General features: G+C 51.0%; 1 protein-coding gene across 10 annotated transcripts in view; it reads left to right on the top strand.

Moving 5' to 3' along the window:
- Nucleotides 1-26,170, top strand: part of POC1A (POC1 centriolar protein A) — a 79,198-nt gene that overhangs the window by 45,957 nt on the left and 7,071 nt on the right. For 4 of the 10 annotated variants that reach the window (XM_011533560.2, NM_015426.5, XM_047447907.1 and 1 more), the window contains one exon: nt 11,755-11,898. The exons of 4 other annotated variants lie outside the window; for them this stretch is intronic. In XM_011533560.2, coding sequence (XP_011531862.1) covers nt 11,755-11,898 — 144 coding nt within the window. Of the gene's footprint in view, nt 1-11,754; nt 11,899-26,170 lie in introns of those variants that run through there. 2 more of the 10 variants (XR_007095660.1, XM_011533563.2) reach the window with 2 other exon arrangements.

The raw sequence follows: 26,170 nt of genomic DNA, 5'->3' as shown, positions 1-26,170 counted from the left end.
CAGTAGTTACAATGAGCTGTCTTCAAGTGGATCTATAAATAAACCGCTACTGTTCCTCTTTGTCACTGAGAGCTGTGGCGTCTCCCAGAGATGTCGGCTCTGCCGCTCGTCTTCATTAGATGCCTCATCTGTGGGGCAGCTGCAAGTGGAGCTGACACACAGAGTTTGTAATGACAGCAACACATTCCCTTTCAAAAATCCACAGTCCCCAAAAATTAACTACACAGGAAAGATAGTAACTTTGCATTGTAGAAACCTGGCAGAGAGGTCAGTGTCACCATTGATCAAGGTCAACATTCCCTGTAATAAGCCCTTCCATGTGAACCCTGTGTTACTGTGCACATCACTTTTCTGGTGGTGTCCAGTATTTATAACCTGAATCTAATGATAAAACCCAAGTCAGGGAACATTTGATAAAATAACTGATCAATATTCTTCAGAAGTGTCAAGGTCATGAAAGACAAGGGAGGACTAAGGAACTGACACAGATGGGAGGAGGCTAAATACATAATAAATGCATCGGTAGGATTCTGGAACATCAGGATCTAAGCACATTAGTAGAAAAACTGGTAAAGTTCAAATGGGGTCCCTATTTTGGTTATTGGTATTGTCACAGTGTTAGTTTCCTGGTCTGATCATTGTCCTATGGTTGTGTAAGACATTAACACTGGCAGAGGGATATATGGAAATTCTCTGTACTATTTTTTGCAACTTTTCTCCAATTCTAAAATTAGTTCAAAGCAGTTTAATATAAAAGAAATCTACAGTCAGCACTTGGGCTTTATCGGAATCCTTGATCTCCCTACCAGGGTACCTCGGTTCAGGTATGTGCTGTGGGAGGGTAGGCATTTTTGTCTCCAGGTATTGGGTAGGTAACCCTAAGATACTCAGCACCAGCTCGTAGTGAGCCCTTGGGAGTGTACGTGGAGCTGAACTGAACCAGAGCCGCCCTCAAGGAAGCGGGTGTGTGTTGAGAGAGAATGCTCCCACACAGGTGTTGGGCAGGGCGGGTTGCCTGCTTGCCTGTGTGGTGGTTTCTGAGGATGCTCCAGAGGTGCATCTGCTCCAGGAACTCCAGAACAGACTCAGCAGGAGTGTGGGCCTGGCCCAGGATGGACCTGCTTCCTCCTGAGGCTTCCTAGCCTCCACCATGCAGTCCTCCCCCTCTGTGTTCCTAAAACCGGCTCCACCTTGCTGCCCCACACCCTTGTGTGCATTTCTCACTGTAACAAGTGTGATGACCTGGAGGGCTCCAGCTTCTAAAGGCTGGGGTTGTTTTCCAGCCCGCTCTGAACCCTTCCAGGGAAGGAACCGCACATGCCAAGGCATGTTCTTGCTGCTTCCTCACTGCCTCTACTGGTTTGAAGTTACTTAGCCGTCACCTCCCTGCTTCATCTCGCTCTCTTCTTCCTGGCTTCCCTCACCTCTGTGTGTCACTTCAGTAAGATAGACCTCTCAGATCAACTTCTTCCTCCTGGGGGCATGTCGGACACCAAATAACTTGCCATTTCTTGCCTATCAAGGCAATCCTTTCACTGTTTTGAAAAATCACCCCTTTGTGTGGGGGAAAATTCTTGGAAATGCTTGCAGAGAGAGGCTGGGGAGTCAGCAGATTGATGGGGGTCAAGCCCAGGAGTGGCCATCACAGCCCTGGGGCAGGTCCTCCATCTTGCCATGGGCCTGGGTGAGGAGAACAGAGTCTTGGTTTGTGCATACAGCATCTCCTACATGCCCAAGGCCTGCGAGCAACACAGGTGAAATAGGATGACAGGCACCTGTGATCCCTGCCTCAAAGGGACCACTTTCTGAGAGGGGACGGGGAGATGGTCTGTGGTCCTGGTTCTGTGTGTGACAAGGCCTGGAATCCAGGGGTTGGTCAGGCATGCAGATTCCCCATCCTTCATTTTAGACCTACCCCTCAACCCCTTCACGATTTTTATTTTATTTATTTATTTAGAAATAGGATCTCTTGCAATGTCACTCAGGCTGGATTATAGCTCAGTGCAGCCTCCAACTCCTGGGCTCAAGTGATCCTCCCATCTCAGCCTCATGAGTAGCTGGGACTACAGGCGCATGCCATCACACCTGGCCCCTTCACAAGTTTTAATCCAAAGGACACCATGTTGGTTTCCCATAGGCAGGGGCCTGAGGTCAAGGGGTGGCTCTGAGGCCTGACTGTGATCTGTAGTTGTGGAGCATTTGATTTGGTTTTGGAGGTTACCGTGTGGACTGTGGACCTCCAGGCCCCATGTCTCTGAACTTTCTTTTTTTTTTTTTTTTTTTTTTGAGACGTAGTCTCTCTCTGTCACAGTGGCGCGATCTCGGCTCACTGCAAGCTCCGCCTCCCAGGTTCATGTCATTCTCCTGCCTCAGCCTCCCAAGTAGGTGGGACTACAGGCGCCCGCCACCTCGCCCAGCTAATTTTTTTGTATTTTTAGTAGAAACGGGGTTTCACCGTGTTAGCCAGGATGGTCTCGATCTCCTGACCTCGTGATCCGCCCGCCTCAGCCTCCCAAAGTGCTGGGATTACAGGCGTGAGCCACCACACCCGGCCTGAACTTTCAAAAATGACCTAGCACCTTCCCTACTCGCAGTCTGGCATGGGGAATGTGAAAAGGCACGCTGCATGTTCATACCCCCTAGATGAAAGCCAGAGGTGGGACCAAACCCCACCCTCATGCTCAGGCTGCCTGGAGGCAGGACTGGCAGGACTGCCAAAAGTTAGATGGTTTTAGGAAAGCAGAATTTCTCTTGGGTTCAGGACTATGTTTGGAATCAGAAGTTTCTTCTCCTGTTGGATTCTAGGCCAGAACCCTAAATTACAGGGCAAATAAGGCTGTAGTGTATCTAGTCTGCAGATATGTGTGGTGAATTCGGTATAGGCTTCTTTTGAGCTCTGATTTGAGAAAACGCCCGTGCCTTTCCTCTTGAGAAGATGGACGTGAGGCTGAGTCCACGTGAGCTCGGTGTGTTCCCTGCTTCCCTCCCCAGGGGCAGGTTTAGCAAACATGGAGGTAGACAGACATGGCTGCCTGTCAACTTTTCATGAAGGCAAATTGTCAAAGGCCTGAGGCCAGGACTAAGAAACATCTGTGTCTGTGAGTCTCCTCATCCACAGTTAGCAGGCTGTACAGTGAACAGTCCAATCGAAGATTCAGTTGAAAATATTTAATCATGGGGGTGTGTTTGTGTCCATTTCTTCCAGTTTTGCACAGGGCAGCCCTGCTTTGGAAATGTAGTGACATGCCTTGGTTTTCAGTGAGCAGTGGTCAGACATGCTGTTCACCTGGGTCTGTACAGGAAGGGTGAGTGAGATAGTCCAGCTCTTGGCCCCAGGTCACCTTCTTCTCCCCTCTCTTGCCTAGAATCAAGCTTTGGACCAGTTCCTGGATGCTTTTGTTTATTACAGTTTCAGTTTCAGGAGCGGGCTGGACAAAGGGCATGGTCCAGTGTTAGAAATTAAAAGAAAAGTAGAAAGTTCCACCTTGAGCAGGTGTTAAGAATTGTCCATTTCAACCCCTAAGAGGGGTGTGTTCCATCTCTGCTCAAGCTCCAGCCTGCTGACCAGGTGTGTGCAGACCTTGCTCCTGACTGCCAAGCTGTGTACAGACTCCTAAGCAGCGGAGGCCTGACACTCCATGGACTGCATGGCTGCTGCTTGGGAGGCCCTGCCTGGGAATCTCTGCGGCTCTCTCAAATTCCACTGGGAAACTGGGGCTTTGGGAATTGAACTGCATTGAGTTATGACTCTGGCTTTGCATTTGGAAAATGTAATTCCCAGACTGATGATGGACCTTGTGGGCCTCACCTGGGGTCTTCAGCCTTGGGTTTGGCCCATTGGTAATGCCCAGTGGAGAGCTGGTGATTTTCACCTTGAGGGCAGAGTGGCAGTGATGGACGGTGTCAACTGTGTCCTGTGATGGGTAGGTTGGTCCCCTAAGGACATTTTAGTTGTAACCACATGTTTTTTGTTTTCAGTCCGGCTTTATAATTTACGAATAGTAACATTCACCATTTTAGAAAGCAAGCAGTTCTCTGAGTTGTGACAGAAACAGTCATGTAACCACCACCACAATCAAGATATAGAATCTTTCCATCATCCCAAAATGTTCTCTTTTGCTTCTCTGTAGTCAGTCTACTCACTCCACCCCCAGCCCCAGACAATCATTAATCTGCTTTCTGTCACTATTGATTAGTTTGTATTTTTTAGACTATGATATAAATGGAATTATACAGTTATGTATTCTTTTTGGTCTGGTTTCTTTCACTCAGTCTAATTATTTTGAGATTGACCCACATTGTTATATGTATCAGTAGTTCATTCCTTTTTATTTAATCAAATGGATATACCACAGTTTTGTTCTGTTGGTGAGCATTTGGGCTATTTGCAATTTTTGGCTATTATAAATAAAGCTGCCATGAACGTTCATGTACATATTTTTCTATGGAAATATGCTTCCATTTTCTTGGGTAAATACGTAGGAGTGGAATGGCTGGGACATATAATAGGTGTATGTTTAGCTTTTTAATAACTGTCAAACTTTTCAAAATGGTTATGCCATCTTACGTTCGTGCCAGCAGTATATGAGAGTTCAAGTTGCTCCACCTCCCTTCCAACACTTGGCATGATCAGTTTTTTTTTTACCTTTAGGCTATTCTAATACGCATATAGTTGTATGTCGCTGTGGTTTTAACTTCCATTATCCTAATGATTAATGATGTAGAGCATCCTTTTTAACATTTCTGCTCTTTCAAAGAGCAGAAGTTTTGGATTTTGAAGTTCATTTTATCAATTTTTTCTTTTATGGATCATACTTTAGGTGTCATATCTAAGGAATATACCCAACCCAAGGTCACAGAGATTTTCTATGTTTTACAGGAAAAATGTGTATCAGTTTTATAGTTTTAGGTTTTGTTTTTTGTTTTTTATTTTTATTTTTTGAGACGAAGTCTTGCTTTGTTGCCCAGGCTGGAATGTGTTGGCATATTCTCGACTCACTACAACCTCTGCCTCCCACGTTCAAGCGATTCTTCTGCCTTAGCCTCCCTAATAGGTGGGATTACAGGTGCCCGCCACCACACCTGGCTAATTTTTGCATTTTAGTAGAGACGTGGTGTTGCCATTTTGGCCAGGCTGGTCTCAAACTCTTGACCTCAGATGATCCACCTGCCTCAGCCTCCCAAAGTGCTGGGATAACAGGCATGAGCCATTATACCCGGCCTTACAGTTTTAGATTTTACACTTAGGTCTATGATCCATTTTGAATTAGTTTCTGTATGTGGTGCAAGGTATGTACCGAAGTTCATTTTTTTGCATGTGGATACTCAGTTGTTTAATCAACTGTTGGAAATACTAACTTGTCTGTACTAAGTTGTTTGTGCACCTTTATTAAAAATTAACTGGCCGGATACTGGTCTAGAGTTTCTGGATTCTCTTTGTTCCATTAATGTACGTGTCTATCCTTTTACCAATACCACAGTGTCTTGGTTAATATAGTTTTAGACTAAGTCTTGAAATCATGTAGTGTGATTCCTCTAATTTATTCTTTTTTTCAAAATTATTTTGGCTTTTCTAGTTCCTTTGCCTTTCCATGTAAATTTTAGAATCAACTTCTTGATGCCTATAGGTGATTTGGGAGGAAATTGACATCTTTACAACATTGAGCCTTTAATACGTGAACATGATATATCTCTTCATTGGTATAGGTCTTCAATTTTTCTCATTAGTGTTTTGTAGTTTTCAACATACACATTTTGCACATATGTTGTTAGATTTATACTAAAGCATTTTGTAGTGTGTTGAATGGGAGCCTCCCTGAAAGATATGTCTACATCCTAACCCCCAGAAACTGTGAAGATGACTTTACTTGGGGGAAAAGATCTTTGTGGATGTAATTAAGAATCTCAAGGTGAGATCGTCTTGGATTGGTGGTCCTAAATTGAATGACAAGTATCCTTAGAAGAGCCACACAGAAGAGAGCCACACAGAGAAAGGAGATGAATGCCATGTGAAGACAAAGGCAGAGATTGGAGTTATGTAGCCATAAGCAAAGGAATTATGGAGCCACCAGAAGCTGAAAGAGGGAAGGCAGCATTCTCCCTTAGTGCCTCCAGAGGAAATGTGGCCCTGCCTTGATTCAGACTTCCAGAACTGTGAGAGAATTAATTTAGATTGTTTTACGCCATCAAATGTGACAATTTGTTACAGCAGCCCTAGGAAACTATTAATAATATATACTTCATGTTGTTTTGGTGCTATTGAAAAGATAATGGCCAAGAATTTTCAAAAAATAATGAAAGGCATCAAACCATAGTTCCAAGAAGCTCAGAGAAACAGCAAACAAGCTGGAGAAAAACAAAACAAAACAAAATCCTAGATGAGTTATATTCAAACTTCTGAAAACCAAGGATTAAGAAAGAAATCTTGAAGGTAGCCAGAGAAAAAAAGACATATATATGTGGATCAAATGTAAGAATTATGAAGAATTCTCGTGAAACTATACAAACTGAAAGAGTAACATCTTTAAAGTTTGAAAGAAAAACTGCCAACCCAAAGTTCTGTACTTAGCAAAAATATTTTAGCAATGATGGGGAAATAAGACCTTTTTTTCCCCTCCAGAAAAACCAAAGCTGACAATTTTTTACCAGCAAATTTGTATTATAAGAAATATCTAATTTCTCTCTCTTCTCCTTCTAGGATTCCAATTGTCCATGTGTTAGAGACAGTATTGTCTTGTAGCTTATGGAAGCTCTGTTCTGTTTTATCCCTCTGTGTTTCAGTTTGAGGAATTGATCTATCTTTAAGATCACTAATTTATTTTCCCATTGAGCCCATTATAGCCATACTTCTCTGTTACTGGGTTTCTTATTTCTGTTGTTTCCATTTGACTCTTTCTTATAATTTCTGCCTTTCTGCTGAAATTCTCCATTTGATCATGTGTGTTATTCAGTAGAGCCTTTACCATATTAATCATAGTTATTTTAAATTTTGTATCTCATAGTTTCAACATCTAGGTCATCTGAGTCTGCTTCTACTGACTGCTTTGTCTCTTGACAGTGGGGTTTTTTTTTCTCCCTGCCTTTTTGTGTCTCATAATGTTTTATTAAATGCCAGGCATCATGCTTAGGACAGTAAAGACTGAGGTAAATAGTCTTATCAGGAGTTGAGCTTAGTTTAGTGTTACCTAACGTACCTAGGATGAGGTCTGGTTGATGGAGGATTTTCTCAGTCATTTTCCTCACTCTCACCTTTCAGCCAGCCCTGTGGGCATGCCCCTCAGAGGGGCATGCTTTTTTCCATGTTCTTGGCCCTCCTCCCTAGATAGGCTGCTGTTGCTTATTGCTTGGTGCTTGATATTTTTTTTTTTTTTTTTTTTGCTGAGGGTTGGGGTGGGCCCTGTTGTCTTGACCCAGCTTCAGTCTTAAGCAGACTCTGTCTCCCTGGGTCTCAAAAGTGAGACATTCTTAGCGGTCCTGCTCCTTCCTCATTCAAAGGAGACCTTGATAATCTCAGCTCAGGATAGTTTCCTGCCTCTCCCTCAAGGGAAGAGGTGTTTTTATATTTGCTTTTCCCTAGTAGTTTCAGGATGCTCTTCTACAGGGGAGAGGTCCTGGCAGGGCTTCATACCTTTCCTTACTCACTCTCCTCTCCTAGGCCTGCACCTCCAAGAACGGTTTTCTTCCATCTACTGTTCTGCCCCCATTTTTTTTTGTCATGAAAGCCCAGTGGAGGTCTGTGGAGGAGAACCTGTGCATGGGTGCAAGCTCTACTTGTGTCTGTGGCACCTGGGGGTTCTGCACTCTTACCCTAGTCTGCGCTTGGTCTCCAGCAGTTTGTTAAAACTGTAACTTACCCACTCGTATGGTATTTGGCGTCTCTTCTCCTCATGCTTTGCCATAGGTGACCCACAGCTGATGCTCACTTTCTATTTTCCTTGGAAGTGTCTGTCTTTCCTTAGATTTCAGGCTACTGGTTGCTCTGTGACTTCAGCTCTCTGATTTAAGAGAAGTTATGATTCTTTTAGATTGTCAGTCTTTTTCTTGTTAGGAAGGAATTAACACTTTCCCCAGCTTTATATATCCTAGGCAGCAGCTCCTTATCCATACTTGTATCTTGATGGAAGAGGGAGATCACGGTCAATTCAGAGACCTCTCAAGAAGTCAACTCCAGATGGGTTGATTTCTTGTCACAAGGAAGATCTACAAGCTGTTTCTTTTGTTTTTAATGAAATGTTATGGTTTGGTTCCTCATGTGTCTGGGTAGCTGAGTATCAGCCACAGACATTTAGGCAATTCCTACTGTGTGTGAAGTGATGAGCTCCTGGTGGTGTATGAAAAGCAGGCAGCAGAGGAAACAGGAACTGAGGTGGGCAACACATTAACCAACTGTGAGAGGCCAGAGTCCCACCCCAGGGTGGCATGAGAGGAGACACCTGCAGACCCCAAGTGATATTTCCCAAAGTTAGAGCCATCTCTTGAGAGTCACCTTTTTTTGTTTTGGTATTAAGATGTTTATATTTGGCAAAAGTGAAATGTTGTTGAATTGGTGTAGGCCTATACGAGTATATGTGTGGATTAATCTTTGTTGTTATTTTAGTGAGCATTACTTTTTCTTTTGAGACGGAGTCTTGCTCTGTTGCCCAGGCTGGAGTGCAGTGGTGTGATCTCAGCTCATTGCAACCTCCACCTCCTGGGTTCAAGTGATTCTCCTGCCTCAGCCTCCCGAGTAGCTGGGATTACAGGTGCCTACCACCATGCCTGGCTGATTTTTGTATTTTTAGTAGAGATAGGGTTTCACCATATTGGCCAGGCTTGTCTTGAACTCCTGTCCTCAAGTGATCCACCTGCCTTGGCCTCCCAAAGTGGTTGGGTTACAGGTGTAAGTCACCGTGTCTGGCCTCTTTGTGTTATTTTATTCATGTTATACTTAACTGAGAACCACCAGGCAAAACCCCTAGGACTCTTTGATGTTGAACAGACAAAATGCTGATGTGACTTTTGCATTTAAATGCTGCTTGGGTTATTCTGCCACTGTCATTACTCATGGCTCTGGTACGACTGTCTCTTCCCACTCTTGTGTGTCATTTTCTTATCTCTGCTTTCTTGCTTATTTGCCCAGCTCTCAGGGAAATGCCACAGCTCCAGAGTGCTGGCATGCAGGTGAGTGGCTACAGAGCTGTGAGGGGTGGGGCTGCTGGCCCTTTGCTGCAGTGCAGACATTGGGGAGGATTCATTACACAGGAATTTTACCTCGGTGGGCCCTGCTCTTTGAGGTGTTGAGTGTTTGTGGAGGGCCTGCTCTGAGTTCAGCTCTGTGCTGGGCAATCATTCCAGGGCAGCTGGGTTGGGGAAGTGACGCAAAAAGCATTAGACCTAGGATTCAGAGGCCTCCATGGGGACGTTGGAGAGGAACTGTGCACATGGAAGCCCAGCTGCAGTCAATGTCACCTGCCAGAGGCTGTCTCATGTCCGGGAAGAGCCTGCACTTTGGGTTCAGATCCCAATTCTGTTATTTGCTGGGTAACTTAGAACAAGTTACTTAACCTCTTTGAGCCCAAGGGTCCATATCTGAAAAATAAGGTTAATAATGCCTATTGGGAAGGGCCATCATAAGGATGAAGTGAGGTTACACGTATTAAGTGAGGTGACATTAAATGAGGGCACACAGTGGATGGCAAGTAAACCATGGCGATTGCTGGACTGGTGGAGTGTTAAGTGCTGTGGTGTTTTCTGATGGGAGTGGGCAAGGAGGCAGGGAAATGGCTCAGGGCAGCACTAGAGTTTGAGGCTGGTTACCTTTAGACAGTCGTTTTCTGACTGAGCCTTAGTTCTCTTTATTGTCAAATGGAGACAGCCCATGAAAGTGTGGTATAGGTGGGAAAACATGGTGGCTGCCGCAACCCTCTGTTGTAAAGGCCACCTCTCCAGCTTGGAGTGCCATGGCCGCTGTCTTTAATACTCCCTTGGAGCTGGCTCAGCTTTGGCTCATCCAGGAGGGTTTCTATTGCTAAAGTCAGTGGTACTCACCCTGCCTCCCTGCAGCATCCACTGTGCTTCCAGAGGCTGAGCTCAGCACTGTCCATTTCTGGGCCATTCTGCAGAAACTCACATTTTCCATTCCCTCCTTCCTAAGCAGCCAGCAGCACCAGACTCTGGCCCATTCCATGACAATGCTGGCTGTGGGACAGAAGAGTTCCCTGCTCACACCCTTCCTCCAGTGGAAGAGTGTGTGTCTGCACTGCTAGGGGGTCCTCTGGAAGGAGTGGGCACAGCACTGAACATTTCTTAAGAAAGGCCTGCTGGTAGCTTCAGATAAGCACCTCTCACAGCCCAGCCGTTTGAAGGACTGGCCCAGTCTTCATCCCTATTTTATAGATGAGGAAATGGAGGCCCAGAGCTGGTCAGTGACTGTCTGAGTCACCATTCCTCACCACTGCACTCTGCTGTGTCTCCTGACAGAACTGCCTTAGTCTGGGGGCCACTGTGGTAGGCTGAAGTCTCTCCTGGCAAGGCTGGTGGACTTCTGAAATTTCCTTTTGGGATGGGCTTCTGGGTAAGCATTGAGATCTGAAGCACGTTGATTCCTGGAGGACTGGAAGAGACCCAGCCCTGATGGCCGAAGTCTTAGAAATGGCCACGGAAGTGGCCGACATGCTGATGATAGGTGTGTGGACACGGTGCTGCTCATGCTGTCAAGAACATCCCTCTGGCTCATGTCTCACATTCAAGTTCTCCTGTAGCTACCATGAGGGCCAGCATTTTTCCAAGTTCAAATCAGCATGCCCTTGAAAGTTTGTGATCTATGAGAATAGAATACTTACCTAATAAAGGAAAACATGCAGGTAGGGTCCATGTGCTGAACCACATTCCCACAGGAACAAGTCCACAGAGGAACTGCAGGCTCTAAGACCAGCCCTGCCCTTGGACATCCTTGGCTCCAGCATCCCGCCCACTGAACATGTGCACAGCACTTCTTCGGTCCACAGAAGCCTTTGTGCATAAGGCAAGGAGCTGACTTTGCTGAATTTAGGGGCTGAAGGGCCTTACGCAGAAACACTAAGCCCCTCACCTCCTGGAGTCCTATCTGAAGCAGCCCAGGGGTGCCTTTCCTGTGGAGTCTGATTCCTGCCAGCCATGTGCCAGCCTGGGACATGCACACAGAAATCTTTGTTTTTCCAGGGGATCTGGGCCAGGGTGGGGTTGGAACACCCCTCTCCCCGCCACACACACACTTCCACCAAGTTCTGGGCCACAGCTTCTTGGGCCTGGGAAAGGCATTTGTGAAGCCTGGCACACCCCCATGTTGAAGGGTGGGGAATTAGAGTTGAGCTGACCAGGAAGAGGAGGGACTTCAGGCCCAGGCCAGGCTTCAGCATCTCTGGACTCACCTGGATGCCTGCTGGTGGGTGCCAGCTGCTTGAAGATATGGGAGGCAGCTAGCTTCCCTGAGGGGCTCCAAGAGCAGGCTGAGGCCACTCACTGGCCTGCCTACCTGCCCTCCTCCCCAGGCCCCTTCCTGCCTGGATCACAAGGCATTCTGATTCCACTCCCCACTTAAGGCCTCTGCCTGGAAAGGTATGTGTGTGGACCCAGATGTGGGAACACCGCCACGCTGCTGTTTCTTACTGACACTTGGAGCTTACCTTCTCAAATTTGCTGGTGGTTTTCCCTTTCATCCTTTGGAGGGGCTATTCCTCTCACAGTATTTCTTCAAGCACTGGATAGACTGAGGAACTTTTTTCTTTCTGTCTTTAGCCAGAAGTGGACTTCCCTGTCCCCCCAGGCAGAGGCAGGAGTGTGGAGTCTGTGCAGAGCCAGCCCCAGGAGCCCGTGAGTGTGCCCCAGACACTGACTAGCACGCTGGAGCACATTGTGGGCCAGCTGGATGTCCTCACTCAGGTAGGCCACACTGTGGGTTCACCCGTCATCCCGTCATCTGCACTTGGTCCCGCATTTGGACCGTTTGAAGTTGGACAACAGGTGCTGGATTTTTAAAAACATAATTATAACGGACCTGTTTTCCAGTCCATATTAATGACATTGCAGAGCCTTCCCGGGGATCCTGGCTCTTGGAGCCATTCAAGCCCTGGCCAGACCACTAGACTCCAAAATCCCCAATGCTGGGTACTACTGGAGTGTGCTCACCTAGAGCTGGCCTGGGCCACTGAAGAGCTTTGAAAGAAACACTGTGTTTGTTTATTCCTCCCACTCTTTGCTGGATGGGCACTGCAGGGGCATGCCAGGGAACTGAGTAGTGAGTCAGGGCTTCTGAGAACCTAGGCTATGAGTTTGAGCCTGGACCTTTCCTTATCCTCTGTGCAACCTTGGGGAAATCCCTTTAGTTCACCAAGCCCTGGTATGTTTATCTGTAATGTGCTGGTGGTTGTGGGCTCTGCCTGCCACATTCATGGTGAGAATTAAGGGAGATGAATCTGGGAAATGTTTGGCCCATGCCTGGCCCTAGGTAGCTGCTCAATAAATGTTAGTTGTGGCCCTGACCACCCTCGTCACTGAGATGGATATGGGCCCTGCCCTCTGGAGCGTAGGTTGGCAGCCATAACACAGGCTCGTAGTGTAGCAGTTTCAGTAAGAGCAAAATCCCTTGACAAGAGGTGGTGGCCAGCAATAGGGGCATGCTTGGCAGGGCCATTTCACCCGAGGGAGGAAGAGAGGTCCTGGCTGCCTGTGGCTCTGGAGAGGCCATGGGCACGTCCAGGGAATGAGTGAAGCTCCAGGTGGCTGTCATGTGGATATGTGGTCTTGGGGTGGGGGGCAAGGCAGGATTTAGAGGTTCCCCAATTCCTCATCTCCTTGGCTCTTGAGGCCAGGCTGGGACTCTGCAGATCCTCCTCTACCATGCCAGCACATGGGTAGAGCGAGGCTGCAAGAGGGACACATGTGGCCCACGAGGAAAAGAGGTGTTAAAGCCAGGGGGTGGGGGATGGGGAAGCAAGGAAGAGTGGTCTCCAGTCCAGCTCACATGAAGGACGCAAAGGACCCTTGATGTCACTAACGGAAATGGAGCTGAGATGGCATGGTATCCTTTCCCCAGCTTGGGATCGTGGGCTAAGTGAGAAAAGCTCTTCCAGGGTGTGTCATCATAGCCCAGCTGGGATGGCACACCTTGGGCCCACTGAAGAAAGCACTCTTGAAGGGAAAGGCCAGGTGTCATGACTGGGGGCTGTGGGACTCCAGGGCCCAGTGTACAGACCTTGCTGAGAGGCTGCTAAGCCCTGAGAAGAAGGCATGTGCTGAGAGAGATGTGAGCAGCATGCAAAGACTTAAAAGCCACCCCACTTCAAACCCGTCAGCAACTGCCTCATGTTTTTCACAGCCTCGCCAAGTGAGAGATTAGGGGAGGTGGAATCAATTAGAACTTTATAGGATAAAATTGGAAATTAAGTCTGAGAAGGTGGTTAAAAATAGCTTCATTGGATCCAGAGGAGTATAACACTAAAAACATTTCCTGTCACTGTGTTTTAGGGGTGCACATGGAAGGTTTTGTTATGTGTTCACAGTTAGGAGTATGATAGTAACTTTTAAAAAACTTGCATCGCAGAGAGTAAGTGAAGGCTGGCCTGTGGCCTGTGGCCTTTGGCCCATGGCTGGGTGTCTAGATGTCTCAATGCTTCTGTGGCACCCTGGTCCTGCCTCACACCATTCAGCCCCTTTGCAAATCCAACTGGCAGGCCACCCCCGACCAGATGCCAACAATATCAGCCAGTCACCTGCTTTGCAAAACTGACAGTGTCTGTGTGTTTCTGGATGCCATAAAGCGAGGCATGTTCTTGACGGACTCAATGCGTCCCGAGGAAACTTGAGTTCTGCAGATGAAGCACCAGTTGAGGCCTTAAAGTTCAACCCATTTTCAGAACTGTGCATAGCACCTTTGTGCTAATCCTGGCAAGTTCTCCTTGGGCTTGACTGTTGGTTGTCTTCTAGGCCAACCTTTCTCTCCTGGAGATGGGGCTTTCTCTAGCTGAGATGTTCCAGCCACAGCCAGAGCTATCTCCACCAGGGGGTTGAAAGTTTCCCTGTGCCTTTCTCTTGGCATTGGCCCAGCAGAGGCAGGCCCACAGCAGGCCCCGCTCTGGATGGTCCAGACTGACCCAGCCCTCCCCTGAAGCTTAGTGCCAGGCGGCCACCACCATCCATCTTCCCAAGCGGCTTGTTCAGCTGGGCTTCCTACTTGGTCTGTGGATATTGGTCTCGGGTGCCACCCCATCAGCAAGCACTCCTTGCCATCTGCCCAGTCCTGAAGAGCCTTTGTGTTCTGGAGGGGTAGGATGCCCAGCCACCCCAACACTGATTCCTACTACAAAGTCATCCATGTGAATTGTGCTGTTCTCCTCTGTTGCCTCCACCATCCCTTCCCTCCCCCACAGGGAAGTCTACTTCAGAGTGGCCTTTGAGAGGGAAGCTGCCTTCTGGGTCCTTCAGGCCTCCATCCTGCAGAACATCCTTCTAGGGGAGAGCCATGGGGATGCAGCGGGCCGTAGCCAGGGATGTTTTCTGAGTGAGTCACAGAGTCTCCAGCCCCTGGGTAGGACACCCTATTTCAGAGGCTCACAGTCTTCAAAGCCTGCCTTCCTGTTCAACAGGCTGGTATGGCCCCATGTGGCGAGGTCACCTCTGTGGATGTTTGTGGCCTGTCTGGCACCAGTCTGAGGGTCAGGGACCCAATCTCAGTCCTCCCCAGGGTGACCCCTTCAGCGGCTCCTCTGTGTAAAGGAAAGGCCTGGAAGCCAGGAAGCTGAGTGAGCCAATGGAGAGGAGTGGCTCAGGTTTTGTCTGGCTTCCCCATTGCCTAGCTCAGTGACCTTGGGCAAGTCACTTTGAGTCTGTGTGCCTTACTTTCCAAATCTGGAACACAGAGCTGATAATAATACCCACTTCATAGGCCTCTTGGGAAGCTCCTTGAATAGTACCTGACAACGCCGTGCACTGCTGATGTGTTGGGTGCTGCTCCTGTTGCTGCCATTGTCGTTATCCAAGGCTTGGGGGCCAGGGGGATCTGCATGACAGCACCAGAAATAGCTCTCCCAATTTTCCACTGCCTCATGAAGCTAGACCCTTCCCTACCCAGGAGAGCCATTCCTTGGCCCTCAGAGCAGAGGTGGCAGGTTCCTTCCATGCACACACATTCACTGAGCCCACTCTGTGTGGTGGGCCCTGTGTGAGACCCAGTCCCACCTTCAGGAAGAACTCAGGACTGAATCTGCCAAGGTCAGAGCCAGGCCTCCCCAGAGGAGCTGGCAACTGGAATAACTGGAAACAAGTGGGAGTCCAGACACCGGGTCAAGGCCATGGGTCCTCTGGTGTGGGGTAACAGAAGCAGCAGCCCAGGAGTTCACCCTCACCTGACGGGACACTAGGCAAAGTCGAGGCCTGACCCATGCTGAGGGTCTGGGGTAGAGTGGAGATGGGGACACAGAGAAGTTGAGACGCGAGCAAGGGCAGTGCTATCATGGCTCCATCCCAGGGGCGATGAGACAAACAGCACTTTGGCTGGCCCCTGCAAGGCTCCTGGTCTCCGGAGCAAGCCAGCAAGTGGGGCAGCTTCCCCCAGCCTTCCCAGGCCAAGAGGCCTTTCAGATGAAGAGGAAACCAAACTGCCCTTGGGACTTGCACAGCATCAGAAACCCTTTAACTCCAGAAATGGGGTTGGTGTTTTACTTTTTTATGAAAGCCTTTTTTATAAAATCCATACATTATTTTTCAAAAGTGTATTTATATGGGGAAAATAGACTTTGGGGTGACCTTGTGAGCCGAGCAGGTGCAGTCTTCAGGCCTCCCCACGTAGTTGTTTTAGATGAAAAGTCCTCAGAGTGTGGGGATCACATACTCATCATAGTTTTCATCCTCCTGGTTTTTATCTGAGGCCTGCCACTTTCCAAGGACTTCCCTTTGTGGACCTCACTTTATCCTCCCACCTGGCACATGGCAGCAACATCATGCCAGGTGCAGATAATGTGTTAATAATGGCTTGTTGTGCCTGGACCAGCCTCGGGGTCCAGCCAGCCTGGGGCTTCTCCAGGAGGCCAGGTGATCCTGATCTCAACCACTGTGGGCCAGAGCATCCCTAGCTTCCCTTGCCAAACAGTTTTGGTGCAGTTAGGGATGGCTTCATCAAGAAATTCTGCAAACCAAACTTGACCTCCCTGAAAGGTAAGGCCAGAAGCTCTTGCCCAGGGCTCTGTGATCAGAGAGCCCAGCAGGCCGAGTCCCTTAGGTCACCAGCCAAAGAGCAGACACATCCTTGCCCTGGCCTGCCCCTGTGTGGGGATGACCCCTCCTTGCCCCAGTAAACACTGAGCTTGCTGTTTGGGGCATCACTGGTTTCTTCGCTAAGCTTCTCTGGGCCCTGATCCCAGCTGATGCCATGCTTTGAGCAGCTGGGGTTTGTTCAGCTTTACACATCCCCACCAGCTGTGGGGAGCAACTGTTCCTCCTTGAGTTTCAGGGCTGCTCTGTTCACCCAGTGAGCCACCTGCCTGTCAGCCTGGGCACACCTCCACCATTCATCACCTGGGTGACCTTGGGCAGGTGACATCAATCCCAGAGCCTCAGTCTCCTCCCTTGTAAAATGGGGAGAGATGCCTCATTGGGTCCTCTGAGCTCTGCTGTGCGGCTCTTGGTTAACTGAGTGTGCTAGACTGGTGCCAGCTGTTCTGTGAAGCACAGCAGTGAGTCGATGTTCTCCTGGGAGCAATATGGGAAAGCACTGGGGCAGGCTTGTGGCACAGGAATGACAGGAGTGGACATTCCACAGTCCCCATACCGCTGGACTCAAGTCCCAGAAATGCTTTTGAGTTGCCAGTGAGACTCTAGTGTCTGGCTAGGCAGGAGGATAAGAGAGGGGAGAAAGAAGTCATTCCCCAACCCCGGGAAGGAGGAGGGCACAGGAGGTGACAGAGGCACTGGGGTGCACATAGACACTTGAAAATCAGGCATGGGTCATGGGGCCCATTAGATCAGACCCTTCCACCTGGACCTAGGCAACAGGGCCCAAGATGGAAGCTCTTTGAAGATGTATGTGATACTTCTGTTCTTTGAATGTAGATATTGTAATGCTTTTTAGGGAACATGTATTTCCTAACAATGGAACTGAAGATTTTCTTTGGAGGGCTTTTTGTTCCTTGAGCCCCCTATGGGAATTCTCAGGAGCTGCTAGGCCTGAGGTCAGGAGCGTGGGCGTCACATGCTGCGAGCTCCCCGCCCCACTGAGAGATCGCACGCCTCTCCCTCAGGGTCCAAGGGCCCTGCTCTGATCCTGTCCTGAGACCCACCCCTCCCCTATCCCCTCTGGAGAGAGCACACGCCTGTCCTGTGGCTGCCCTGGGGTCACTCACCTGCTGGGCCTACCTCAAGTCTTCTGAGAAAGTTGGCTTGACCCCAGAGGCCCAAGGCTTCCAGAGAAAAACCCAGACAAGGAGTCAGAAACTGCAGCTGCTCAGACCCATCTCTGCCTCTTTTTGGCTTTCCACCAAGGGGAGATTTTAAGCGCTGCCCCTCTGTCTGTCTGTCCCATGGGGTGGGCAGCAGAGGTCAGCCTCTTCACATGGGGCCAGGACTTCCCCTGGGGCCTTTTCATCTGCCTGCCCCCCAGGCCAGGCTCCTCCATTCTGAGCACCCCTGGAGGACTCTAGGCCGGACCCCGAGGCTGCTAGGCCTGCCTGCCCAGGGATGGGCGCTCAGTAGGTGTGCAAGCAGAGGCCCTGGGCCTGACCCTGGTACTGTTTCCCCTTGTGCTCTTGGGGGTGATGCCAGGTGATCTAGGGGTCTTTTTCACAGATGCCGGAAAACTTCTCCAGTGAGCAGGGAGAGAGGCTGTTTCCACAAATAGCCACTGCTACATGAGCTCACCTCCACGCTGGCTCTGTGGCTTCCTTCATGGACCCTCAAGAGGCCAGAGGGCTGCTGCACAGTGCTCAGCTGCCCTCAGGAGTAACAGGTTTCAGTGGTGTCTGGAAGTTGCAGAGGCCCTGGGCCTTCCTTAGGGCAAGGGGGTGGATCTCTGGGGTGTGGACAATGACCCAGGAGCTGGGGAGGCTGCTGTGAGGGGGCCCGGCATAGGCCCAACACGCGGCTTGGTGGTTTTGCCTCAGAAGCCCACAGCAAAGTTATTTTTGACTCCAGTTTCACGTCTTGCTGCTTTTTAAAAATACCGAGCCATGAAATTCCTGCTCCAACTGTTTTTTTATGGCACCCAGTGTTTCAGGCTGGCCACAGCAATGCTGTGATGTCACGTTCCAGTTCCTGTGACTCATGGAGGCTGCTGGGCTCCAGGACTTGAAAATGCATGCGGTGGGGAGCAGGCAGGGAGCAAGCCCACCAGCCCTGCTTGTTTGGGTCTCTTTGGCATTCGATTTTGTTAAGTGTTCAAGTCATTGCGTTTTGCTGTCCTAACTCAACAAGGCCAAGGATTTTTGCCTGTTTGCTTTGGGGATAGAGAATGGCCTATTTGCTTTGAGATACCTTAAACCTGCTCCCCCACCCCCACCCCCATGGTAGTCCTGGAAGTTCCTATTTGACGGGCTGCTCAGGTGAGGCATCTGGTTCCACACTGGTGGGGAAGTTGGCAGTGCCTGGCCCTGATGTGGGCCAAGCTGCCTCACTACTCTCAGGGGCTCTCTGTATCCCTCTTTCCTGGGAGGACCTGCTGTTGCTTATGGAAATAGACCCCCAATTTTATAGTTATACAGTTTTCCATGGGGATCGGTCCTCCCACGTGCACCCAGACAGAATTTGTTGGGAGGGTATAGAGTGAAAGTCACCCAGTGCGTCTTCCCATGATCCCAGGAGGGCGTGTGCAGCCCTCCTAACACTGCTTCCACTCGCAGACAGGGCCATAAGGGTGGTGGTGGGTTGTTTCTGCAAAAATGGGCCCCCTCTCTGCATCAGCACATCTAGCCAGCTCACCTGCTTGGTCCAGAGTGGATGTAGCCACCCTCCTTGTTGTGGACCTTCATGGATTGCCCTTTTGGCCAGAGTCATGTTCAGGACAACCTGAACTTCTTTGTGGGGGTTTGGAAACAAGAGGCTTGTTTTCCTTCTGTTAAGAGGCTACTTCTGGGGGACAGGGGACTCAAGACACTGTCTGTTCTGTGCCAGGGACACACTTGGTGGCAGAGGGACTGGGGGAAATGTCTGTCTGCCTGGGCCCCTGGTGATTCCCCAGCCCTGTTACTATTTTTGGCATTTTTCCCAAAGGCTCCTCTGGCTTTGCAAATGTGGCGGGACAGGGGAGCCTGTGTCTTCCCCAAGTCGCAGGTCAGGGCCAGTGCCCTGCCTCCTTCGTGACATGCAGCCTGCGAACAGCACTCAAAAACGGGCAAGCTCGTGTTTGCAGGGGGACTGGGTGGCAGCTCCCATGGGGGTCAGGCAAAAAACTCTGGTTTTCTATCTTTTATCCCGTCTGTGGTTGTGGCAGAAAGCACCCCCTTCCAAAGAGGCTGCAGATTGAAGGCCCCTGCCTGCCAGATGGGCTCGACAGTAGCCGTGGTTATCTCTGGGGCCTGGGAATGTTCATGGTCGGTCATACGAGATTTCTTCTGAGGCTCTGAGCTGGCTTGGAGATGGGGGAGGGCTGGGGGAGGGCTGGGAGATGGCGGGAGGGAGCAGGTGGTGGAGAGCAGAGGCTGGGAGCAGGGAGAGAGGCCCATGCAGGGACATCTCATTCGGGCTGAATCTAGGCTTGCTCTGAGAAGAGGAAGGGAGGGGACTCCACATGATTTGCTCTTGCTCCTCGGGGACCTGGGCCCTCCAAGGAAAGGCCAAACACAGGCCACAAGAAAGGGGCCTGTGTTATGACAGGAGCCCCAAACTGGCCTGCACCGCTCTGAGATTAAGCAAGCCACAGCCTACTTCATCACAGCTGACCCCGTGACCTCTTGGTGCTTTCCTGAATGAGGCACCACCACAGCAGGGCCAGGAAGGGCTGTAGTTGGGCCTGCTGCTTCCTCCCATGCGCTCTGTAAAGGGCCCTGATCCAGGCCTGTACTATGGGTATAGAACCTCATCATGCCCACAGTGGCCATGGCTGAGGAAGCAGAGGAAGCACAGGAAGCCTTGAACTTAGCATGGCATTTGGGAAGCAATTATGTGCCCCTTGCCCTTCTGATCTGGGCCCAGCCAGTGGCTCCAGAAAGCTCGCTAAGATGATTGCTCAGGTTTTCCCACTGTGGATCAGTGGATGCTTGGCAGGATGGGGGAGCCTTGAGACTCCATCCCTGGTGGCTTGTGCCCTTCTTCCTCCCGGAGGTGGCCTTGTTGGGTGGTAGCTGCAGCCCGACTCGCCAGGCTATACTGAGACTTCCAGGCCTCCAGCAAGCTATCAAGATGTCTGGCTTAGGATGATCATGTCTTGCTGGGTCTTGGGAAAGTAGTTAACTAACTACTTTATATGGATTGTTGGAAAAGTCAGCCTCTGAAGAAATGGGTTGCAGAAGGCGGCCAAGGTCAAGGTCCACACCCCATGCTCAGCCCTGTTTGGACTCACCCTGGAGTCAGAGTCCAGCAAAGCCTATGGCCAAGCATGACTGGTGTCCTACACCTTGGGGCCTATCCCGGTCAGACACTTGGCTTCCCTGGTGGCCTGTACATGGCTGGCAGAGATGTGCTTGAACCCACCCCAGTGTCAGTGGGGCTGTGGCTCAGGTCCTCCCTTTGGGTGTGAGCAACACCCCATGGGTCCCAGGAGCATCCGGTTTTATGAATGGTCTGAGTGGACCCACTTTTTATAGCTTCTCCTTTTGGGGGAAAGAGTGATATGGAAAAGAGAGCTGTGTTCATTTAAAAGGAGTTGTTTTTAAGCCATGAGCAAGGTAAATAGCCAAGATTCCTTAATCTGGTGGCTAATCCACTAATAGAAAATAGTGTTTCGTGTACTTCCCGAAGAGAGCTAATCCTCAGTAGAGGTTGGGGCTGGGGGATGCAAAACCGTCAGAGAAATCCTATATCCCTGAGATAATGTGAAACAACCGCGGACCATAGGCTCAAGGGACCAAAAGCTCATTTTCTGTTGTTTGCAGCAGACTGTGGGGTTAGGGGGAGTGGTTAAAAAGACAGTTGCTGGGCCTAGAGAGATTGGGAGGAATTTTTTTAGAAATTGTTTTTTTGTGTGAATTGGCTGTGTGATCCTGGGCATGTTAGCATGTCAGACATCAGCATGAGAGGGGAGCTCCATTCCTTCCCCTCTGAGGTTCAGGCCTCAAAGATTTTAGTCATCATCAGACCAGGACAGAGGTGGGAAGGGGAGGAACTGGACTGCTTCCTTTACTCCCGCCCCCACTTCCTGCCAAAGCAATGAGGCTTCCTCCCTCCCAAGACTAGCTGGTGGGGCCTGCCCCTCCTACTGCCCGCCCCACTCTCCCTCTATCCCTTCAAGCTCACCAGGTCCAAGACCCACGCTGGGGTGAGTGTTCCTCACAAGCTGGGTGGGCCCATCCCTAGATTAGACCTGCCCTTTGGCCTGGGGGACCTGGGCTGGCAGGCACCGGACCTGTGTTCCCTGCATTTCCATAGCACTCAGGGCATTTGTCCATCCAGTCAGTACTCAGTGTGCACCTGCTGTGTACCAGGTGCTGTCTAGGAGCAGGAAGACAGTGATGAGAAAGAATAGAGAACAATCTTTGTCCTCATCACTGGCATGCAGGCTGACTGATGTCCACAGGCTGCTCGAGGGGCATCGTTTGTACCCTGTGACATGAAGGCCCCTGAGCTGCAGACCATTAGGTACTGGTTGGTGGCTGAGGCCAGGAGGCAGAGCCTTGGGTGGTGTGAAGGTGCTGCAGGCCCTGTCTGCAGAGGGCTAGGCTGGCCCCCTAGTCACTGCTGACATGTGGCAGCAGGCTAGCAAGGGCACCACCAGCAAGTCAGGGTCCTGCGTGTGTACGCACACAGGCTTACACCAAGTGACAAAGCTGGAGTTGGCAGGATACAACGCAGAGCTAGGGTAGGCAGTGGGGCCCGGCAGCCCTGCTTTGTTTTGATAGCTCATGAGACCCCACAGCAAAGAGATTCCCCTTTTATTGTATCTGTTTTAGATCTTGAGAATCTGAGTGAAGTCAAAACCATGCTACAGGGGAGATTAATTCAACATTTTTCATCTCTGCAATGAAGCCAAAGGAAAGTTAGACATTCAGTGCAGCACAGTTGAGACCAGGGGTGTTGAGTCAATGGCCAGCCCCAGGACGTTTGCCCTGGCCTGCCACAAATGTCCTCAGTGTGGCCGGGTGACTGCGCCCTCTCCCTGAGACTCAGAGCAGTGGGGACCACACCACCTCTGGCCCAGTTATCTGGCTCCTGTGTTGGTGGGGAGGAGACTGGAGAACCCCAGTCCCACCAGGGAGACATCATGGGGGCGCCCACATCAACCACAACCCGGGAAGTGAGTAAAAGGAGCTTTTCATCACAGGAGAACTTAAAGAAGCAGCCAGACCACCACGTGCATCAATGGCTCACACCCTCCCAAACCTGACCACAGGCTGCCCTATTTGGGGCCTCATCAAGCCCCATCTGTGCCCATGGCTCCCCCAACATCCCGGAGCTCAGCCAGGGCAATGGCTAGAGGAGTCATGTTCCCCATAGTGCATGCCTGTGCCCAGCCAGACAGAGCAAGTTCTACATGCATATTAGCTATTAATATGAATATTGCAGTGACTATGAGAGGTGTGTTTTACAAAGAAACTGAAGCCCTGAGTCTGGTAACTTGCCTAAGGCTGCTCGGCGAGTTAGTGGTCAAGTTTCCCTTTGAACCTAGGCCATGTAGCTGAGGAGCCTTCGTGCTTACCACGTGGGACCAAGGTTCCCCACTAGGAATCCCTCAGTGGCATTTTCCAAGGGCCCACACCCATGAGGGGAGGAAGGCAGGCATCCTAGCAGCGGGGCCAGGGCAAGGAGGCTCCTAGGGTAGGAGAGTGGGCGGGCCTCAGGTGGGCGGGGTTGGGCAGGGAAGGCAGTATTGGTGGGCAGCATAGGGCCTGGAGGGCCACGGGAATGCCATGCCGCAGAGTCTGGCCTTTATTCCTGAGCTCTTGGATAGGAAAGGGGCACGGAGAAGCAGTGAGGAGGCAGAGGGTGAAGGGTGTCCCAGGAGTAGGGCAAGGGGAGTCACCAGGAAGCCTAGGTGTGAGGATGGGGACTGAGAGGAGCAGGCCGGAGGGGCACCTGAGTGCCAAGAGGGAAGTGCCTCGAGCCCTGCCTGGGAGGCCCTAGTGCAGGAGGAGCCCAGCTGGGGCAGGGGATGGGGTGCCTGCCTGAGTCTGGCGAGGGCAGAGCCCTGATGTGGCTGCCCCTGCCAATGGTACGCCGACTAACCCAGTGTGGCCGCCAGGGGGGCCTGGGACAGCATGGTCCTGTGTGTTCACCCTCCTACTGCCTCTCCCAGGCTTCACCCAGCTGCTGCCTCTCCTTTCTCTCAGTCAGTGTGGCTTTCCATCTTGCCCCATCAGCCACTGGTGCCTTATCTCCTGGCCTCCCTGCAAACCTGCCAACCCAGGACAGTTGCAGCTCCCCTTGCCACTGTGTCCCCAGCCCAGGCAGAGTGCTTGGTGGGACACATGCCTGGATGTTGGCTCCGCCTTCACCCATCAGTCTGGCCCAACCACCCTGTCCACCTCCATGCCACCTGTCTTCCAGCTCAGAGGACGCTCCCATAAGAACCAGTACCACTCACCAAGGAGGGCCCCAGGTACCACCACCCAGGGCTCTGCTAAGAGCAGGATGTGGATATGGGGAAGGGCCCTGGCCAAGGTGAGCAGGAGGCCCCTGGGAAGAGGGGCTGCCCCAGAGCTGGGGGGGCAGGGGGATGGACTGGGGAAGCCTCGAGTGAAGCCTGCACTTGGAGAAGTATTTTTAAGGATCTGGCCACCCTTGTTCTTTCCTGCCCCTAAGATGTTCTTTGCTGTCAGTGGTGGTGGAGTAGCTTTCCTCGCAGCCTAGACAGGACCGGTGCTGCAGCTGTGTCAGTGCTCGGAAGCCCCCAAGAGCTAGGGTCCCTTGTTTGCTGCCTGTGGTGGGTGCCTGACAGAGGTATGGGAGTGAATGATGTTGTTGGCTGCCCCCAAGGCGGGTCGTGAGTGTCCCACAACTCCTCAGTTTTGGAGAAGTTACGGCTCCAGCTTCCCTGCCATGTTTGCCCATGAGTGCATGAGGGAAGCCTTCAGCAAAGGTGGTGACAACAATGGTCATGGGAGGAGGAGCAGCTCCTGGAAGGGACCTGTCTCTGAGGGTGTGCCCTTGGTCTGTGCTCTGAAGTGCCAGTCTGTCCATTCACTTCCGTTTCATGGACTGTAGGACCAGGTGGCTGTGGTCAGTTCCTAGGTCGAGGCTCTTCTCCCAGAGTTTATTCTGGAACCAGCGTTCTACAAACTGGCCACAGGCACGTGGGAGCAGCATCCTCCCTGGCTGTGCCTACTCAGACCTGTGAGCCTGGTGAGGCAGTGCCAGGGAGTGGAGGCTTCTCTGTTCCCTTCTGTTTCGAGCTGAGGGCCCTAGGGCTCATATCTCTTCCCTGCTCAACCACTTGAGGCCAAGCACCCTGGCCTCCTGACAGTTCCAAGAGTGTGCTTCAGGGCCTTTGCACCTGCTGCACCTAGTACTTGGAAAGCATTTGCATTGGCTCATCCTGTGTTGCTTTCTCCCAGAGGCCTTCCTGTCAGAGTTGATGCTCTCCTTCCCAGGCCGGGCAGCCCTGGCATCAGCCCCATAGCAGGTGAGCCGTGGCAGGGGCCTGACTCCACCTGGAGCTCAGTCCCAGGTGGCCAGACACACACTCTGCTCCTGTTTCCCTCGCCCTCTCACCAAACACAGAGTGGAAAGGGAATGAAGAGGCCTTGAAAGGAAATAGAAATGAGAACTGGGAGAAAAGCTAAGAAAAAAGTGCAGGACAAGCCCACCTCAAGAGAAAACCAGGCCAGGGAGAAAAAGAGGCTGGGGCTGAAAGAAGGGGAGGTCACACTGGGAGGAGGTGGCCAGCAGGAGAAAGGAGGGACAAAGGAAAAGCCCACGTAGCCCAGGGAGAGCGCTGGGGTGTAACTAGACCTGAGGGGAGAAAGTGGGCATGAGGGACTGTACGTCACTCCACGGGGTGTGAGGTGCAGCCAGGTCAGTCACACCTGTCCTTGTTTGCTCTGTTTCGCCACGTATGAGGGTGGGGGCCTCACCCTCTCCAGAAGCACTATGCTCCCACCTCCTCTGTGCCTGTCCAGAGAGGAACTCTTCCTGTACCTCTGCAGAGCCAGTGGGAGTGTCACACCGCCCATGCCTCTTGCCAGCTGGAGGGTCATACAGAGACCTCTCTGAACTCTCGTGATGCCCCAGATGCCCGAGTCCCCATCACATACCTCAGAGGAGCTAAGGCTCTCCCCCCAGCCACCCCAGAGGCCAGCAGAGCTGCATAAACCCAGGCTCTGTCCCAGGCAGGACACCTGAACTGGTCAGTTTGGGCCATTGGTGGGCGTGGAGGATGATACGGCATCTGGGCTCAACTGTTCCAATCTCGGAGCCCTGTGGGGACCATAGCAGGCTTTCAGCAGACACCTAATTACTCTATGTCAGTAGAGAAGGACGCATCTGAGGTAGTGAGGTGCAGACTGGGGGTATCTGTTGAGATGTCGCCAGTGTTCCTCTTCTACTTGGAGTTGGGGGCCCAGGTGCCAGACATGTCTCTGAGGACTTGTATTTCAGTGCAATTTCTTTGGGCATCACTACAGTTTTTAGGGGGCTAAAAATAAAAGCCTGTCATTTTAAAATCAGTTCTTTTTATACCATGCTCAGAAGGCCCTTTAAGGTGTTACATAAAACGTTTTACACGTCTTGAACTGTGAGTGAGAGAAGGCACACTCGCCCTCTGAATGTTGCCCCAATAGGACAGATCACAGTGTCTCCCCTGAGCAGAAAAATTAGGATTCAGATAGAATGCCATTGTTCACCCTCTCCTGGGGGGATTTTCCTTGGAGAGCTCAGGCGGATGAATCACGGCTGGAAGCCCTACCACCTGGTCCGAGCTCCTAGATCCACTGTCCAGCTACTGAGAGCCAGCCCAAGCTAGCCTGTCACCATGCTCTTGGTTTTGGTCCCCAGCATCTCGGCATCCTCCCTGTTGGGTCACCTGGGTTGGGCAGTCCCTCCTTCATCCCCACCAAGGAGCTTTCCAGGACGTTCAGCC

Source organism: Homo sapiens, chromosome 3 (assembly GCF_000001405.40).
Source record: "Homo sapiens chromosome 3, GRCh38.p14 Primary Assembly".
Taxonomy (NCBI): Eukaryota; Metazoa; Chordata; class Mammalia; order Primates; family Hominidae; genus Homo; species Homo sapiens.
The sequence above is the reverse complement of the archived record's forward strand: the minus strand, read 5'-3'. Positions and strand labels throughout refer to the sequence as shown.